This window comes from Homo sapiens, chromosome 5 (genome assembly GCF_000001405.40).
Source record: "Homo sapiens chromosome 5, GRCh38.p14 Primary Assembly".
Taxonomy (NCBI): Eukaryota; Metazoa; Chordata; class Mammalia; order Primates; family Hominidae; genus Homo; species Homo sapiens.
In genome coordinates this window covers 180113880-180131236 of record NC_000005.10, presented here as the reverse complement: position 1 = coordinate 180131236, position 17357 = coordinate 180113880, and the positions used below count along the sequence as shown (strand labels likewise).

Below are 17357 nucleotides of genomic sequence, written 5' to 3'. Positions count from 1 at the left end.
CTCCTATCTTTGCACAAGCCATGGAGGCATTTTCAGGAACAGGGAGGCAGCGATCAGATTTGCATTTTGAACAGACCTCTGTGGCTGCAGGGTGGAGAGAAACCGGCGTGGATGCATTGGGGGCATTAAGAAGGCCAGTGCAGCAGAGAGATGACAGTGGCCTGGGCTCCAGAGACAGTGGTGGGATGCGCAGAAATAGAAGAAAATGAACTAGAGAGGGGTGGTGATGGCCTAGAGGGGCATGAGGGAGAGGGCGGGGTCGAGGATGGCACCAAGCCTGTGTGTCTGGTGGCCGACGCGCTATCCACCAACACTGGGAATACCAGCTTTGGACAAGGAGAGTCGACCTCCATTTGCTGTGCTGGGCAAACAGAGGACCATGGGCCATATGACGGACCGCCGCCCATATGACTCTGGAGATCAGAGGGAGACTGCAGGTGTGAAGCAGAACAGCCAGGAGCTAAGTAAGAGTGAGAAGAGAGGCCTAGACAGAGCAGGAAGAACCCCGAACCCCAGCATCTCACGACAGTGAACACAGGCAAGCCTGCAGACAGCCCAAGGCAGGAGCAACCAGGAGGCTGAGGCGGAGGTGGCCAAGGAAGACGCAGCCTGAGAAACGGCCACTGGCTTTGGTGACAGGAGGGCCCAACGAATTGACTGATGGGAGTGGCAGCCAGGTGAAGTGATTCAGGAGTGAGTGGGGGTGAGGAGACGAAACAGCAGGTGTAGCCACTCGTGGGACTCTGGCTTTGCCTGGGAGAGAGACAGGAGGTCCGTGGAAGGGCCAGGGCCCACAGGGGACTGACCGTGCCCCTCAAGGCTGGCAGTGGCTGCGCCCCACTCCCCATCTTCCCAGCACTCAGATGAAGCCCTGGGAGGCAGTGTGCCGACCACAGTTTTGGACACAGCCTTCCTGAGAGGGGTCGTTCCTTCCATGGGCCCCCTGCCCCCTACCCCGCAGAGGAAGCAGGCCACTTCAATTACCCAGCGTGGAGCCTAGTTTCCCTGGCCTCTGCTCCCAACAGTACTCATCCAGGTCACCCTATGCGACTTCTTTGATAGGACCACCGTCGAGACAATGGGGTCATTTCCTCCCACACTAGAATAACAGCTCCACAGGGCTGCAAGGTCTGTGCTGCCGCCGCTGTGCTATGAGAGCCCAGCCCTGCTCTGGGCACACAGTGGGTGCGCAGTAAGTGCTCACCCCCACCAGCCAGCTCAGACGCACGGGCTCTTGCTTTGGGCCACATCATGGGCTGGGTACAGGGATGAAAGGCCGTGGCCACCCCTCAGGGGCACCTCCTCTCCCACCGTCAAGGAAAACCTAATTATTTCCCCTCGGAAACCCCTATTTCCAAGGAAGTGCCATCAGACTGGCTGGGTTTGTTAAGGTAGACATCCTCATGTCCTCAAGGGGTTTGGTCTAACTCAGAGTGAGATGCAACCCCCTACAGCCAGGAGCCGGCCTGGGCACTGGCAGAGGCAGTGGTGGGAGCTGGAGCCTGGTCCCCAGCGATGGCGCACCTTGACTGGACAGGCTGCTGCTCCCAGAGGCCTCGGGAAATAACGAAGGGTGGCAGTCGGCATCATCAGGTCACTTCAGAGATTGCAGGGAGTTTTCCTTCATGCGATTTTGAGACACACAGAGCCTGCAGTGAGCGGTGGGCAGGTGTGGCATCTGCATGCTGGCTGTGAGGGTCTGGGGGCTCCGATTGCTCTGGGGGGGCCTCAGCCAGGGCCCTGGGGTGCTGCTACTGTCTGAGGACGCTGGAGCCCTGTGCTCTGGTGGCGGGGTTGGGAGTCGTCTGGCACTCCTATGGCAGTGGGCAGCTGTGGCAGAGCCTCAGATGGGAGGAATGGGACAGGACGTGGCTTAACCCTAAGCCTAACTCTCAGAGCACGGGCCAGGTGCAGAAGGCGCCCACTGGTTAGCCGGGCAGTTGTCCGACTCTTCTATCTGTTGCCCATGGAAGGAACGACCCCTCTAAGGAAGGCTGTGTCCAAAACTGTGGTCGGCACACTGCCTCCCAGGGCTTCATCTGAGTGCTGGGAAGATGGGGAGTGGGGCGCAGCCACTGCCAGCCCTGGGGGGCACAGTCAGTCCCCCGTGGGCCCTGGCCCTTCCACTGACCTCCTGTCTCTCTCCCAGACAACAGCACAGCTGGTCGGGGAAGGCCGAGCTGGGCCTGGGAGATAACAGAGGCCCCATTAAAGCCAAGCCAAATGCCAGTCGTCTGCCCAGGGCAGGGCCCATGCCATGTCTCCCGCCTCTCTCCCTTTCTCTGGCTTCCTGGCCGTGCCCACCCCACTCTACCCCACTGCCCCAGACAGCTGCCCCCGGCCCCCGTCACCCTCCCTGATGTGTGCTCCTCTTGGCTCCCACCCACAGATGGGAAGCCCTGCAGCCTTCACCCCAGATCCCTTGCCAGGTGGCCCCACCCTGGCCGGGATTGGGTCCTGTTTCAGGGTAGGGGCAGGTCCTGGCCCCTGCGCTGGTACCTGGCCTTTTCTCCAGAGACCCTGAGGAAAAGACCCTCCCTTTGGAGCCCAGGTGGCTGCCTGGTTCCAGTGTTAGAGATGCAGAGATGAGTGTTCAGTCCTGAGCGCCCTTCTTTCCACCCACCAGGCATACCGGAAGAGGATGCATCAGCTCCTACAGGCTCTGCACCAGAAGCTGGCGGCTCTGCGCCAGGGGCCAGAAGGTCTGGTGGGTGCCGACAAGCCCATCTCCTACAGGACCAAGCCACCAGCCTCCATCCACAGGGAGCTCCTTGGTGTCTGCAGCGACCCCTACACACTGGCCCAGCAGCTGACCCACGTGGAACTGGTAAGCCGGCCCAAACCACCTTCCTCACCCGGGATTCAGCAGGACACACACAGATACACTGTGCCCTCCCTGGCTTCCCAGAGCAGCCCCACAAGCTTGTGAAGGAGGCCCTGGCCTAGCCTCGAGCATGCACTGGGCCCCTTGTGGATGCAGAGGCCAAGGGCCCACCCCAGGGAGAGGGAGGCTGGGGCGGGTTCTTCCCTTTGAGACTGAGGGTTGATGGCGACCTCCCTGCTCTCCAGGCACTCTTCAGCGCGCTCCCGTGCGCTCGCTCATGTCTCCATCACCTGGCCAGGCAGGCCCTGTACACAGAGGAAACTAAGGCCCAGAAAGGTGAAGCGACTTGCCAAAGTCACACAGCAGAAGGGACAGAGCCAGGGTTTGATTCTGACCCAGATGCCATGCTCCTAGCCACCAGCCCCTCCACCCCGCAGAGGAAGCAGGCCACTTCAGTTACCCAGCGTGGAGCCTGGCTTCCCTGGGCGTCACGCCTCATAGCATTGCTCCCTGCCCCCATGAACCGGGAAAGGAGGGGCTGCCTCCTCCAGGGAAGGCGCTGAGCTCTGTGACAACCTAAAACAGGGTCTCCAAGCCCCAGTGGGGAGGGCAGTTGCAGAGTGACTGTTGTGAGGAGGACTAGGGGCTGGGGCACCACGGCAGGCCCCCCAGTGGACACCCCCTCCCCATACCTTCCCTCTTTTACCCACTCTTCACCCTTCCCTGCAGGAGCGGCTGCGGCACATCGGGCCTGAGGAGTTTGTCCAGGCCTTTGTGAACAAGGACCCTCTGGCCAGCACAAAGGTAGGAGGCTCTTACGGGCTGTCCCAAAAGTGAGCCTCACCCAGTGACTGGCCGCTCTCCGGGGAGCCCGCGAGCCTTCTCTGGGCGAGCGCTGGAGTGGCCCAGAGTGGGACAGGTGGGCTCGGGGGGCCCTGCCCACTCCGCCACGCCCCTCCAGCTCGGGGGCGCACCACGACAACCGAGTCCCGAGTCCCCGGAAAGCCTGGACGTGCGGGACGTGGGGGTCACCCACCCAGCGAGGGAGGAGGAGTGGGCCAGGAACCAGGCCGTGGGCCGCGCTGCTCGGGTGGGCCAGGACCCTGGGCAGGGAGGAGGGTGGAGGGCCCCCTGGCGCGCTCCGGGACCCCGTGCGCCTTCCCGGTGCGTTTCGGTGGGCGCCGGTGCCCTCCAGCGGCCACGCGGGGAAGCGCGGGTTGCTGCCCGCTGCCCGGGATGGGTAAGGGAACTCCTGGGTCCCGGTGCTCAGGACACAGCCCACGCACCCGGATTTCGATCCCGCCCTTCTGGGAGCCCAACCAGCAGGGTGCCGGTGCCTCCCACGGGCTAAATCCAAGCCAGAATTGCAAACATTGTGCCTTCTGCCCTCACACCTAATAAAAGTACAAACTATGAGATTGCATTTTTCACTTCTCAGATAAGCAAAAATCACCTAGTAGGTTAGACACATTGTGGAAGACACACTCCACGTGGCTGCTGGGGTGAAGCTGGCGCAGCCACTTTGGAGGGGAGACTGGCACTAGCATCGACGCTCTAAATGGACTTTCTTGACCCCAATTTTCCATACCTACGAATTTATCCCACAGATACACACCCATGTACACGAACATGCACGGACGAAGATATTTGGGATAGACAATGTTTATTATGGCCAAACACTGGGGGCAGATTGCCTTGTCACCCATGGGGACTGGATTACAAATTATGAAACGTCTATAACTAGAATGGTGTGCAGCTGTGAAAGGGAATAAGGTGGACAGAACAACCTCCAAGACCTATCCCTCCAGGCACTGAGAGAAAACGGTAGAGGGAAGAGCAGGGGCGAGAGTGTGTGACCATTTGGGTAACAAAAAAAGAGGGTAACACAAAACCATGTATGTTGCCTGTGTCCGTCAGCACTCTCTAGGAATGCTGACTGCTCTGGGAATTCGGAACAACTGTGGTGCTGGGAGGCAGGAACGGGAGGGAGATTTTTTTTCTTTTTTTGAGACGGATCTCACTCTGTCGCCCAGGCTGGAGTGCAGGGGCGCGGTCTCCGCTCACTGCAAGCTCCGCCTCCCGGGTTCACACCGTTCTCCTGCCTCAGCCTCCCCAATAGCTGGGACTACAGGCGCCCACCACAACACCCGGCTAATTTTTTGTATTTTTAGTAGAGACAGGGTTTCACCGTGTAAGCCATGATGGTCTCGATCTCCTGACCTTGTGATCTGCCCGCCTCGGCCTCCCAAAGTGCTGGGATTACAGGCGTGAGCTACCGCGCCCGGCCGAGATTCTTGTAAGATTTTTTGTTTGGTTTGGGGCCATTTCCAAATATTACTTTTTTATTGTGAAATACATCAAGACGACACATGACATTTGTTTTATCCCCCTACTGTAGATGAACATTTGTGTGTCCAGCTTTTTGCTGTTATAAATATTCCCACAGTGGACATTCTTACACCCGCTGGTATACACGAGTGCACACTTTCTGTAGGGTGTCCGTTCTCAAAAGGCTCAGGATCCCTTTATACTCTTAAAAATTATTAAGGACCCCAATTAACTTTTGGTTATATGGATTATATTTATCAATATTTATATTAGCAATTAAGATTAGCTTTTTTTTTTTGAGATGGAGTCTCACTCACTTTTGTCACCCAGGCTGGAGTGCAGTGGTGCGATCTCGGCTCATTGCAACCTCCACCTCCCGGGTTCAAGCGATTCTCCTGCCTCAGCCTCCCGAGTAGCTGGGATTACAGGCATGCGCCACCACGCCTGGCTAATTTTGTATTTTTAGTAGAGACAAGGGTTCTCCATGTTGGTCAGGCTGGTCTCGAACTCCCGACCTCAGGTGATCCACCCGCCTTGGACTCCCAAAGTGCTGGGATTACAGGCATGAACCACCACGCCCGGCCTGACTAACTTATTGTGCTAACTTGCACCTCTGGTACAATGTCAAATAGAAGTATTGATAGCTGGCATCCTTATTTTATCCTGATTTTCAAAGGAATGCTTTTAACGTGTTGTCCCAATAGAGTATGATGTTTGCTACAGGATTTCTTGAGATGTCTATTATCAGCTTAAGGAAGTATCCTGTTCCTTCCTAGTTTTCTCAGAATTCTCATCATGAATGGTTGTTAAATTTCATTTATTTTTTCTGGATCTGTTACTCACATATTCTCTTCTCCTTTAAACTGTTAGCTGATTGTTTATATTAGTTTTTAAAATAAATGTTTCTTTTGTTTGTTTTGGGTTTTTTGTTGTTGTTGTTGTTGGTATTTTTGAGACAGAGTCTTGCTCTTTTTCCCAGGCTGGAGTACAGTGATGTGAACACAGCTCACTGCAGCCTCAACCTCCCGGGCTCAAGTGATCCTCCTGCCTCAGCCCCCCAAGTAGCTGGGACTACAGGCACATGCCTCCATACCTGGCTAATTTTGGTATTTTTTGTGGAGACAGGGTTTCTCCATGTTTGCCCAGACTGGTCTAGAACTCCTGAGCTCAAGAGATCTGCTTGCATTGGCTTCCCAAAGTGCTGGGATTACAGGTGTGAGCCACCTCACCTGGCCTAGTTTTTTATTGCTGTTGTTGTTTGAGACGGAGTTTTGCACTTGTTGCCCAGGCTGGAGTGCAATAGCACGATCTTCGCTCACTACAACGTCCGCCTCCTGGATTCAAGAGATTCTCCTGCCTCAGCCTTCCAAATAGCTAGGATTACAGGTGCCCACCACCAAGCTCAGCTATTTTTGTATTTTTAGTAGAGATAGGATTTCACCATGTTGGTCAGGCTGTTCCCGAACTCCCGACCTCAAGTGATCCACCCTCCTCGGCCTCCCAAAGTGCTGGGATTACAGGCGTGAGCCACTGCGCCAGGCTGTTTTTTTAATCAATGTTGAACCAACTTTGCATTTCTGAGATAAACGAAACTGGGATAAATGAAATCATTATCTTTTTCACACTTCCCTGGATTTGGTTTGCTAATGTTTTAGGATTTCTGCAACTATAATCGTCAGTGAGACTGAACTGTTATTTCCCCTTCTGATACTGTTCTTGTGTAGTCTTTGTTTCTCTTACCCTGATCTCTATTCTTCCTGAAAGACTGGAATTACTTGTTCTTGGAGCATTTTGTAGAATTAGCCAGTGGAACCATCTAGGCTTGGTATTTTCTTTTTCTTTTTTTTTTTTTTGAGACAGAGTCTCGCTCTGTCGCCCAGGCTGGAGTGCAGTGGCGCTATCTCGGCTCACTGCGAGCTCTGCCTCCTGGGTTCATGCCATTCTCCTGCCTCAGCCTCCCGAGTATTTTCTTTGAGGGATGACTTTCGTGTACTGATTCAAGGTTATTCTTGTTTGTTTGTTTGTTTCGTTGTTTATTCTTGTTATTAATTTAATGGTTTTAGGACTATTTAGGTTTTATGTTTCTTCTTTAGTCTGTTTTGTAATTTATATTTTCCTAGGAATTTGGCCATTTCCCCTAAGTTTCCAAATTTATAGACATACAATTATTTGTAATATTCTCTAGGTATCTTTTTAATTTCTTCACATCTACATTGATCCATCTCTAGTATTTTGATTATTTACACCTCTCTTTGTTTCTTTATCAATCTTATCCGAGGTTCATCAATTTTATTAATGTTTTCAAATAAAGATCTTTTGACTTTGTTGATTCTGTAGATTGCAGTTTTTTTTACTATTTCATTTCTTTCTTCTCTACTCTTTATTATTTCCTTCCATCTACTTTCTTTGGATTTATACTGTTATTCTTTTTCTAGTTTCTTATGTTGGATGTTCAGCTTGTTTTTATCCTTCTTTTCTAATAAAAGCATGAAAGATGGTTGATTTCTTTTTACATAAATTTTTATTTACAGCCTCCAAGTTTTATTTTTTAACATTTTCATTATCATTCTAATTCCATTATGATTTCATCTTTGAAACATAGATTATTTCAAAAAATTTTTTAAGTTTCTGAACATTTGAAAAGAATGCGTATTCTCAAGTAGTTAAGTTCAAGTTTCCGTGTTTGTTTATTGCTTCAAATTGTGTTGCTGAGATTCATATTCATCCTGGGTTGCGTTTTGTTTTTCTTTTTCAATCTCCCTAAGCTACTAGTTACCGTCATGTGTGTTAAAATCTTCCATGTGACTGTAGGACTCAACTTCTCCTGATAAAGAACTTCAGCTTTCTGATTGTTTTTGCCTCCATATATTGAACCTATGTTACTAGCTGCAATCAAGTTAAGACTTGTGACATATCCCTGATGAGCTGACCCTTTTATCATTATGCAATTTCTCCTACAGCTTTTTGCCTCAGGGTCTTTTTTGTTGCCTTAAAGTCTATTTTGTTCAATGTTAATATAGTTACGTAATATTTATCAGATATATTTTTCTCTTTTTTTTACTTATATCCTTGTGTTTGGAGTGTATCTCTTGAAAGTGGCAAGCAGCTGCATTTGTTAATTACAGTGTTGTAATCACTAGTCCATAAGAATTTGTTCTTGCTATCTTCTGTTGTACCACATAGTTATCTTCCTTATCTGTTTCTTTTTCCTCCTTCCTTTGCTTCCTTTGGATGAATAGGTCCCCCATTCCATCTTCCCCTCTATTTATTGAAAGTTACCCTGGCAGTTTTTTGGGGATTTTTTTTTGTTTTTTGTTTTTGTTTTAGTTTTTTTTTTTTTTTTTAGATGAAGTTTCGCTCTTGTTTCCCAGGCTGGAGTGCGGTGGCACAATCTCGGCTCACTGCAACCTCTGCCTCCCGGGTTCAAGCGATTCTCCTGCCTCAGCCTCCTGAGTAGCTGGGATTACAGGCACCCACCACCACATCCAGCTAATTTTTGTATATTTAGTAGAGACAGAGTTTCATCATGTTGACCAGGCTGTTCCTGAACTCCTGACCTCAGGTGATCCACCCACCTTGGCCTCCCAAAGTGTTGCGATTACAGGCGTGAGCCACTGCGCTTGGCCTACCCTGGCAGTTTTAACAAACACATTTAGGTTAAGTTTCATCTTTTAAATGGTGGTATATTATACAGTGGAAAGTTCTAAATCCATTTAAAAATTTTTTTTCCAAAGGATATGTTATGGCACAGGGAAAGGTTCGCATAGCAAGGCATGGGAATATATATGGTTATGATAGATGCATGCATACACACAGCTGGTGCCCATTACTCCCAGCAGCTGCAGCACCGAGTGAGGGAGCACAGAACCATCGCTCCCGGGGGGAAATGCAAGGTTAGGCTCCTGTGAGACTCTCATCACAAGGCTTTTGCCAGCGGATCAATATATCACCTTGTTTTATGTGTGCTTATGTTTAAAGACATTATTTAATATAAATTATTGATTACTATTGATCTCATGGCTAACAGTGCTGTTACTCACAGCTGAATGCTGATGTCACACACATTTTCTCTGTGAGGCACAGAGCAGCCTTTGTGCGCATGGGAATACTAGACGGCACTTCAGCACCATGCTTGGGGGCCTTTCTCAGCAATGAAATTATCAGCAAAAAGCATGAAAATGCAAAGGACATGATACTCAGTAGGCCAAGTCTGAGCGTGTGATGCGGGACAAAGCATTGCTTAGCCTCCTCTGGAGATGCTTGCGGACGCTCATGACTTCGATATTTTTGCCACCGCACACGTGTGTACAGACGACCACGAAAGTGACACAAGTTTTTGGGGTTACGAATACATTTTAGAGAGCAGGCAAATTTGCAAATACAGGATCCAGGAATAATGAGGGTGTGTGTGTGTGTGTGTGTGTGTGTGTGTGTGTGTGTGTGTGTGAAGTTACATTTTAAAATGTATTTTTAGCCGGGCGCAGTGGCTCACGCCTGTAATCCCAGCACTTTTGGAGGCCGAGGTGGGCGGATCACGAGGTCAGGAGATGGAGACCATCCTGGCTAACACAGTGAAACCCCGTCTCCACTAAAAATACAAAAAATTCTCTGGGCGTGGTGGCGGGCGCCTGTAGTCCCACCTACTCGGGAGGCTGAGGCAGGAGAGTGGCGTGAACCCGGGAGGCGGAGCTTGCAGTGAGCCGAGATCGCGCCACCGCACTCCAGCCTGGGCGACAGAGCGGGACTCCGTCTCAAAAAAAAAAAAATGTACTTTTAAGAGGACTGAAAGCGTACATACCAAATCTTTGGTATTTCTGGATGGTTTGGGGGTTTTAACATTTCCCAGATCGTAAGGATCATGAACTGACTTCATGCTCTAAAAGATGATAGACAAAAAGGCTCAGAACGTGGTCCCGTGTGCTGTGTTTGTTCTAGCCCTGCTTCAGTGACAAGACCAGCAACCTGGAGGCTTATGTGAAATGGTTCAACAGGCTGTGCTACCTGGTGGCAACTGAGATCTGCATGGTGAGTAGACAGCCAGGGTGGGCACCACCTGGCATAGCCCCAGGCGGCCGGAGTTGGGAGGAGCCCACGGGGGAAGGAACCGGAAGGACACCTTGAGTCTTATTCATTTCTAAGTCCAAGGCCAGGCTGGGCACCCCTCCAGGACTCCAGGTGACACCAGCTTTCCTACAGTGACATTTCCCTCCAAGTAGAACCCAGGCCAGATCCACCGGCCAGGCACAGAGGGTGCTGGAGAGGGTTTGCTGAAGGAGTGAGAGGCCGTCACTCCCAGCCCCAGTGGCTCTGCTCTCTCCATCTGTGCCGGCCTGCCTTGGGCAGCCTGGCCTGCAACGGGCCTCGTTTGGCTGGCTCGGGACCTAGAGGAGGACGAGAGCCGACCTTTGAGCACTGGGAGATGCACGTAAAAGCCCGTGGTTCTAGCTGCTCCTGGAAAGCACCAACACTCAGCAGCCTGGAGCCAGACGTGCTTGTCCCTGAGTCGCGGTCCCGCCTGGCCACACCCACCCGTCCTCCTCCTTGCAGCAGAGGGACCCTCCTCTGAACCCACTCTCTCACCTTGAGCTGAAGCCCAGGGGGCTGCTCATCTCAGGGCCAGGCTGGAGGCAGCGCTGGGCCAGGCTGGGCTCTCCGCAGCAGGTGCTGAGACTGAGTATGGGGCACATGTTCATGAGGGGTCCACACCTGCGGAGAAGAGTAGAGAGGAGGCGGCCCCATGCGACGTGGCGATGGACACAGGAGTTGGCCTCTGTCCCCCACCTGGCTCAGCCCCCATCACAGGGCGGACTGCCCTTCAAAGGACAGGGCCAGCCTTGGGTGCGCAGCTCTCTGTGGCCAAGACAGCCCCTGGAAGGGGGTTTGGTGACACATCTCAGAGCACAACACCCCACTTCTTGGTGACAGTAAAGACCCCTTGGTGCATCTTTGGTAGGCAAGCAACACCGACCTGTGTGGAAAGAATGCAACGCGGGCCCCACCGGCCCAGCCCACTTCCTACCCTCACGCCGCTGGCTGCAGGCGAGAGGGCCGAGCCTGGGCGAAGCCTGGCCTGAGCCCCCCAGGGAGCCAGCTGCAGCCCAGGATGGCTGGGGAAGGACATGGTGTGGTTCTGCGCATCACAGGGGTCTGAAGTCCCGAGCGCCTGGCCACAGACAAGGGTTTACCAGTCACGCAGTTGTCAGATGGAGAGAGCGGAGGGGCTGCTCGAGGGACAGGCCTCAGGGCCAACTTGTACCCCAGTGAGAGGAGAAAGCCCAGGGCTGGGGGCAAGTAGTTGGGGCTCTCTAATTCAGGGGAAGAGTGGGGTGGGAGCTGGGCCCAGAGGGAGGAGGGCGCTGGAGGGGAGCCATGGAGCCTCTCCTGAAGGTGCCTCTCAGCAGCTCCAGGGCTACAGGGGGTACCCGTGCCCCCACCGGGCCCACCTAGCCCTCTATGGCATTGGGCTCTGCTGGCTCAGCCCATGAAGCACTCTGAGACCCTGTTTACCCTGAGCCTCAAGTGCCTCAGCTGTGCAATGGGTTTAGAGAAGGTGAAGCGGGCCAGGTGAGGGGAGCGGGCCTGATCAGGGCAGGGTGGAGGCGTGTCACCACTGAGGCTCTGCTGCCCTGTCCCCAGCCAGCCAAGAAGAAGCAGAGGGCCCAGGTGATTGAGTTCTTCATCGACGTGGCCCGCGAGTGCTTCAACATCGGCAACTTCAACTCCCTCATGGCCATCATCTGTGAGTGGGCCGGCCTGGCCTGTGGCCCCCAGTGCACGGGTCCCCCGAGAGGCCGGAGTGGGTGCAGCCAGGCAGGCAGAGTGCAAGCCAGGGCTCTCCTCTGAGCAGCGGGAGGGCGTGGGCCGGGCTCTCTGAAGGCCTGGGCAGCCCCATGTCCCCACCTCAGAGGTCCTGGGGAGCCACCCCTTTTGAGGCAAGCCCAGCCCCCTCGGGATGTTTGGTGAGGGCTTGGTGGTATGTCCCCAGACCCAGAGAGAACGAGGGCCCAGTGCAGGTGCTTGGTACAGAATGGGACCAGCATGGTGGCAGCAGGCCTACCTGACCATGATGTCCACCAGCACCCCCTCACCCACCCACCATGTGACAGGCTGAGCCCTGCAGACCTCAGCCCTGGTCAGGGTGCAGTCCAAGGGGGTGCAGCTACGCAGAGGCCCCCCTGTCCCAGGAGCAGCCCTCTCCAACCCTCCTCCCTCTTCCAGCCGGCATGAACATGAGCCCTGTCTCCAGGCTGAAGAAGACCTGGGCCAAAGTGAGGACGGCCAAGTTTTTCATCCTCGAGGTAAATGAGGCTGCTGGGCTGCCGGGTGCCTCCGGCCATCCCCTGGACAGAACTGCCCACATGCCTCCCTGTCTCCTTCCAGCACCAGATGGACCCAACGGGGAATTTCTGCAACTACAGGACAGCCCTGCGCGGGGCGGCCCACCGCTCCCTGACGGCCCACAGCAGCCGAGAGAAGGTAGGTCGGGGCCACGTTGGCCCAGGGGGGCTGCAGCAGGGAACCTGGGTGCTGGCTCAGAGTTCACTTGCTGCAGCTCCTGCCCCCTGCAGCATCAGTAATAGACAGCCAGGTCTCCTTGCTTGCGTGCCTCCAGCGTGGGGAACTCACCACCTCCCAAAACCTGAGGGAAGCCAGCCTCAGACAGCTCTGACTGACAGGAAGTGCTTCATGAGGGCCTGAAGCCGGGCTGCCTGGGGTCATCCTTTCTTGGGGGGCCACACGAGTGAGGCCACTTCGTCTTCTGCTCACCAGTTCTTCAGAGCCCCCATGGCCTCTCCTCTCTTCTCCGGAGTCAGCGGCCCCAGACCTGCCCTGCCACACTACAGTTTCCAGGCTCCTCCCCACTTGGGGCCCTTTGGTCCCTAAACAGCTCCATTTGTCAAAATTTCTTCTGTTTCAGATAAAATTGAGGTGCCAGGTACACAGGATCTTCCACCTCCCTGATTCTAAACGTAATACTTTTATTTATGTGGCCTCAGATCACATTTACATTTTTGGCAATCACTGAACCAAGCTTTTTCCTCACCCAAACTCCCTGTTCACAGCTCGTATTTTTTTTTTTTTTTTTTTTTGGAGATGGAGTCTCTCTCTGTCGCCCAGGCTGGAGTGCAGTGGTGCAATCTTGGCTCACTGCAACCTCCACCTCCTGGGTTCAAGCGATTTTCCTGCCTCAGCCTCCCAAGTAGCTGGGATTATAGGCACATGCTACCATGCCCGGCTAATTTTTGTATTTTTAGTAGAGGCGGAGTTTCACCATATTGGCCAGGATGGTCTTAAACTCCTGACCTCAGGTGATTTCCCTGCCTCGACCTCCCAAAGTGCTGGGATTACATGCGTGAGCCACTGCGCCCAGCCACAGCCTGTATTCTTATATCCCTGCATTTGTGGAGCCTCTGCGGACCTGATCAATTTTATTTTTCCTCCAAATTCTACTCATGGCATGTGGTACAGAGAGTCATGCACAGGCTCTGGGATTGCAATGATCCTCTGGCTTGAAACCTGTTACCATCCTGATGATTAGAGTTGTTCATCTCTATGGAGAGGAAACTCCAAGACTTGTTGTACCTTTGAAGGCCCGTGCCATGCGGGAACATTGGTGGGATCAGGTCCCTGCTGTGGTGCATGCATGTCTGTCTCCAGCTTGAGGATAATAGAACACATCGCTGGTGTTGGAATGCAGGTGCCCCTGGAATTGCACTGGAGGGAAGCCAGTGGGCAGGTTTGGGAAGCAAGCTGAGGTGTGCACGCTTGTGCCACCTGCCGGGCCTTCTTGGCCCTCCACCCAAGGGGCAGACACCGGCCACACGGATGGCTCTGTCCTGTCCAGCTGGCCTTTCCTGTTCAGGCTGTGAGTGTGTCAGTGACTCTGGGTCCCAGGCAGGGGTCTGCTGCAGAGGGGAGCAGCACCCAGGGATGCGAGACCTCAAATCCCAGGGCAGGTGGCGGCCTGCCAGGAGCCGGAGCCCGGGAAGCCAGACAGCAGGGGTAGGAACCTCATGTCACTGAGCACCTGCCTCATTCCAGCCACTTGGCCTCCATACCCCAACTGAATTCTGACAACGACTCTATGGGGGCATCAGCATTGCCAATTCCCAGATCAGCAGACTGAGTCTCGGGCGGGAGACCTCACTAGTCCACTCACACTGCAGGTAGGTGGCGGAGCCAGGATCACACTCCAGCCTGTCTGGCTCTGAAGCTCGTGGTCTGCACACCGCCAGGCTGACTCCTGTTCCCAGGCAGTGGGTGTGTGTGGTGTTCGCAGGGCACTGGCTACAGGCCTAGGTTGGATGCAGAGTCGGTGTACAGGAGCTTGGTGCCGAGCTGGGCTGGGAGCCGTCAGCCATGGCCTGGGCGCTCCGCACTACTTCCTTCATCTCCGCTGGGACACGGGGGCTGTGGGGCAGGTAGACAGACTGGGATTCGGATGCCTGTGTTCTGAGCCCCTTCCAGCTCTGGGTGCTGGGATGCTGTGCATTGGTGCTGTAGGCGGGCGGCTTACAGCTGCGTATTGACTTTAACCGCATTGTCCTCTAACTTCCAGAGAGAGGCGGGTCTTGGGCTAGGCCCACAAAAGCTGCTTTATGGATGGAGAGGGGTGGAGGGGCAGAGGGAGGGAAGGAAGGAGGAAGGAGAAAGGGATACTTAGAGTGGTGCTCACAGCTTCCTGGTGCCCCAGCTGAGTTGATGGGGCTGGGAGATCTCGGTGGTCGTAGCACTTTACGCTTCCTTCCTGTCTGTGGGCGGCAACTGCCCCTCTCCCAGTCTGTGTCACAGGGCCCACTTATCCGGGTGACCTCCAAGCTGACCGGGGCTGTAATTAAACTTCTCATGTCAGAAGCAAGGGCAGTGGATTTGCAGATACAAAGGCCTGTTTGGCTGCTGCGAGGGCAGGGAGACCAGGTCAGACATGGGGGGTGGCCTTGAGTGGCGTGGCCATGGCGGAAGGGGTGAGAAGTGCTCACGTATGGGACGCGCCACCTCTTGAGGACCAGCTCAATGCCACTGCCTCCAGGAAGCCCAGACCAGGCCCCAGAGGAGCCTCCTCTGTGTGCGGAGTCCCACATTCCTTAAACCCCCTCCCTGTCTTGGTGCGTCTCCCTGTTCCAACACAGTTCGGCTGTCCAGAACCTGCACTAGGACTGGGGACTCAGCACCACTGAGGGAGGGCACAGACACAGACCACCCCCACAATCCCCCCCCACCACTGATCCCGGCACAGTGAGGAAGAGGTAGGACGGGGCACTAGGGCAGAGCCACCTGGGACTCAGCCCTGCTTCCGCTGCTCACTGCTGTGTGAGCTTATGCAAGGTATTTAACCTCTCTGGGCCTCAGCTTCCTCATGTATAAATGGGGTCATGAGAGCCCTGCTTCACAGGACCATGTAAAGATGGAAAGTAACCCTGTATATAGCCCAGCAGTGAGGCACGCAGGCTTGATAAAGGCATAAGTAGCGGGCTCTGTGGGAGCACAGATGGAGACTAAACCCAGCCGGCAGTGGGGAGTTGGGATTAGCAAAGATTTGCCAGATGAGGCCTCCTCATTTTGTAGGTTACTCCTACAACTGTGTCTCCCACTACAATGAGGTCAGGAGTGAAGAGTCTGGGGGGGCCTGCACGCAGCCCGCAGCCCTTCACAGGCGGGGTCCGTGAGCCTTTCTTTTCCTTCAGGCAGTGGAGCAAGAATTGCTTTTGGTCTAACAGTAAGTGCATCGGGATCAGATCTTAGCATCAAGAAAGACAGAGGGGGACAAATTGTTAAATTTTTTTTTTTTTTTTTAAAAAGGAGGCCACCTTGGGAGGCCGAGGCGAGCAGATCACAAGGTCAGGAGTTCAATACCAGCCTGGCCAACATGGTGAAACCCCCGTCTCTACTAAAAATACAAAAACTAGCCGGGCGTGGCAGCAGGTGCCTGTAATCCCAGCTACTCGGGAGGCTGAAGCAGGAGAATCACTTGAACCTGGGAGGCGGAGCTTGCAGTGAGCTGAGATCACGCCATTGCACTCCAGCCTGGGTGACAGAGTGAGACTCCTCTCAAAAAAAAAAGGAGGCCACCAAATTTCAGAATAGTTGATGCACATCTATTCCATGTGTCTTCAACAGTGTGTTCAGCAGGGACTGCACCTCCCGGTGCCCACAAGCCTGTGGACCTTTGGATGGGGATGGGGGTAGTGGAGACCTACCAGCCCCTCCCAGAAGGCAGTGGAAGGAATATTCAAGGGTCATCGTGACTGTGCATCTCTTACCCAGCCCCAGGACGGGCGGTGGCACCACGGCGCTCTGCAGGGTGATGCGCGCCTGCTCCTTTCTTTGGGGTCCTTATTGCCCTCCATGGTGCACAGGAATTCACCTCGTAACCCGTGAAGTCCCAAGGCCCCGGCTAGCCCAGGAAGTCTCCCCTGCCCTCTGCACCCTGGGGTCGGGTCTGAGGTCCCTGGGGCAGCTATCTGCTGGCAAGGCTGCCCCCCGTCCTGGAGCCCGCTGTGTGGAGGGCCGGCTGGGGCCGACCTGCCCCCTCTTTCTTCCAGATTGTCATTCCTTTCTTCAGCCTGCTCATCAAAGACATCTACTTCCTGAATGAGGGCTGCGCCAACCGCCTTCCCAATGGACACGTCAACTTTGAGGTAGGACCTCCGTGTGGACCGCCACTGAGGTAGACAGGCCGGGAAAAGTTCCCAGGGCAGGACCACTGGCCCTTGGACACCCAGCCTCATGGGGGACCCTGGGGCAGAATGAGCAGTTCACAGCCGACCTTGGCAAGGTTATCAGGGTCCTCCCACCCTGACATCCACTGCAGTGGAGATGCTGAGGCTCAGGGTCATGTCCATCCAGGCTGCGCCGCACGGCCAGCACAGGTGAAGCAGGGTCCATCTGAGCCCTTGAGGAGCACCAGGCTGGCGAGAAAGGCAGCTCCGTGGGCCCACAGTGACAACCAGCAAGGTGCTGTGACAGGGGCTGTGCCCTGGGGGTCAGGACCAGCCCAAAGGCGGAGCCTTGAGTAGCAGGAGGACGCTATCAGGCCGAGGCCAGAGTGAACAGAAAAGAAAGAATTCTGCTCCCTCTGTAGACACTCACCACTCTCAGCTCAAGTGTCTCCTCCTCCAGGAAGCCCCCCTGGACCTGCCAGGCAGAGAGAGCCCACCTGTCAGGCCTCCCAAAGCACAGCAGGCTGGGCATCCCTCCATCCATC

General features: G+C 54.4%; 1 protein-coding gene across 1 annotated transcript in view, besides 4 other annotated features; it reads left to right on the top strand.

The window, feature by feature from the left end:
- Positions 1-17357, top strand: part of RASGEF1C (RasGEF domain family member 1C) — a 108417-nt gene that overhangs the window by 77975 nt on the left and 13085 nt on the right. The window contains exons 5-11 of the mRNA NM_175062.4: positions 2627-2827; positions 3554-3628; positions 10088-10177; positions 11789-11891; positions 12371-12450; positions 12533-12628; positions 16696-16791. Of these exons, the coding sequence (NP_778232.2) occupies positions 2627-2827; positions 3554-3628; positions 10088-10177; positions 11789-11891; positions 12371-12450; positions 12533-12628; positions 16696-16791 (741 nt within the window). The remainder of the gene's footprint in view (positions 1-2626; positions 2828-3553; positions 3629-10087; positions 10178-11788; positions 11892-12370; positions 12451-12532; positions 12629-16695; positions 16792-17357) is intronic.
- Positions 3918-3987: a silencer, noted in NCBI's record as "silent region_16760". NCBI's record gives its function as "represses an Ori minimal core promoter by ATAC-STARR-seq in GM12878 lymphoblastoid cells {active_cell/tissue: GM12878}" and the evidence as "EXISTENCE:reporter gene assay evidence [ECO:0000049][PMID:35858748]".
- Positions 4058-4107: a silencer, noted in NCBI's record as "silent region_16759". NCBI's record gives its function as "represses an Ori minimal core promoter by ATAC-STARR-seq in GM12878 lymphoblastoid cells {active_cell/tissue: GM12878}" and the evidence as "EXISTENCE:reporter gene assay evidence [ECO:0000049][PMID:35858748]".
- Positions 4334-4628: a silencer, noted in NCBI's record as "tiled region #5800; K562 Repressive DNase matched - State 20:ReprD". NCBI's record gives its function as "represses a minimal TATA promoter and a strong SV40 promoter by Sharpr-MPRA in K562 cells {active_cell/tissue: K562}" and the evidence as "EXISTENCE:reporter gene assay evidence [ECO:0000049][PMID:27701403]".
- Positions 13971-14736: an enhancer, noted in NCBI's record as "H3K4me1 hESC enhancer chr5:179543501-179544266 (GRCh37/hg19 assembly coordinates)". NCBI's record gives its function as "activates a minimal SCP1, AML or CMV promoter by ChIP-STARR-seq in naive H9 embryonic stem cells {active_cell/tissue: H9 hESC(naive)}" and the evidence as "EXISTENCE:reporter gene assay evidence [ECO:0000049][PMID:30033119]".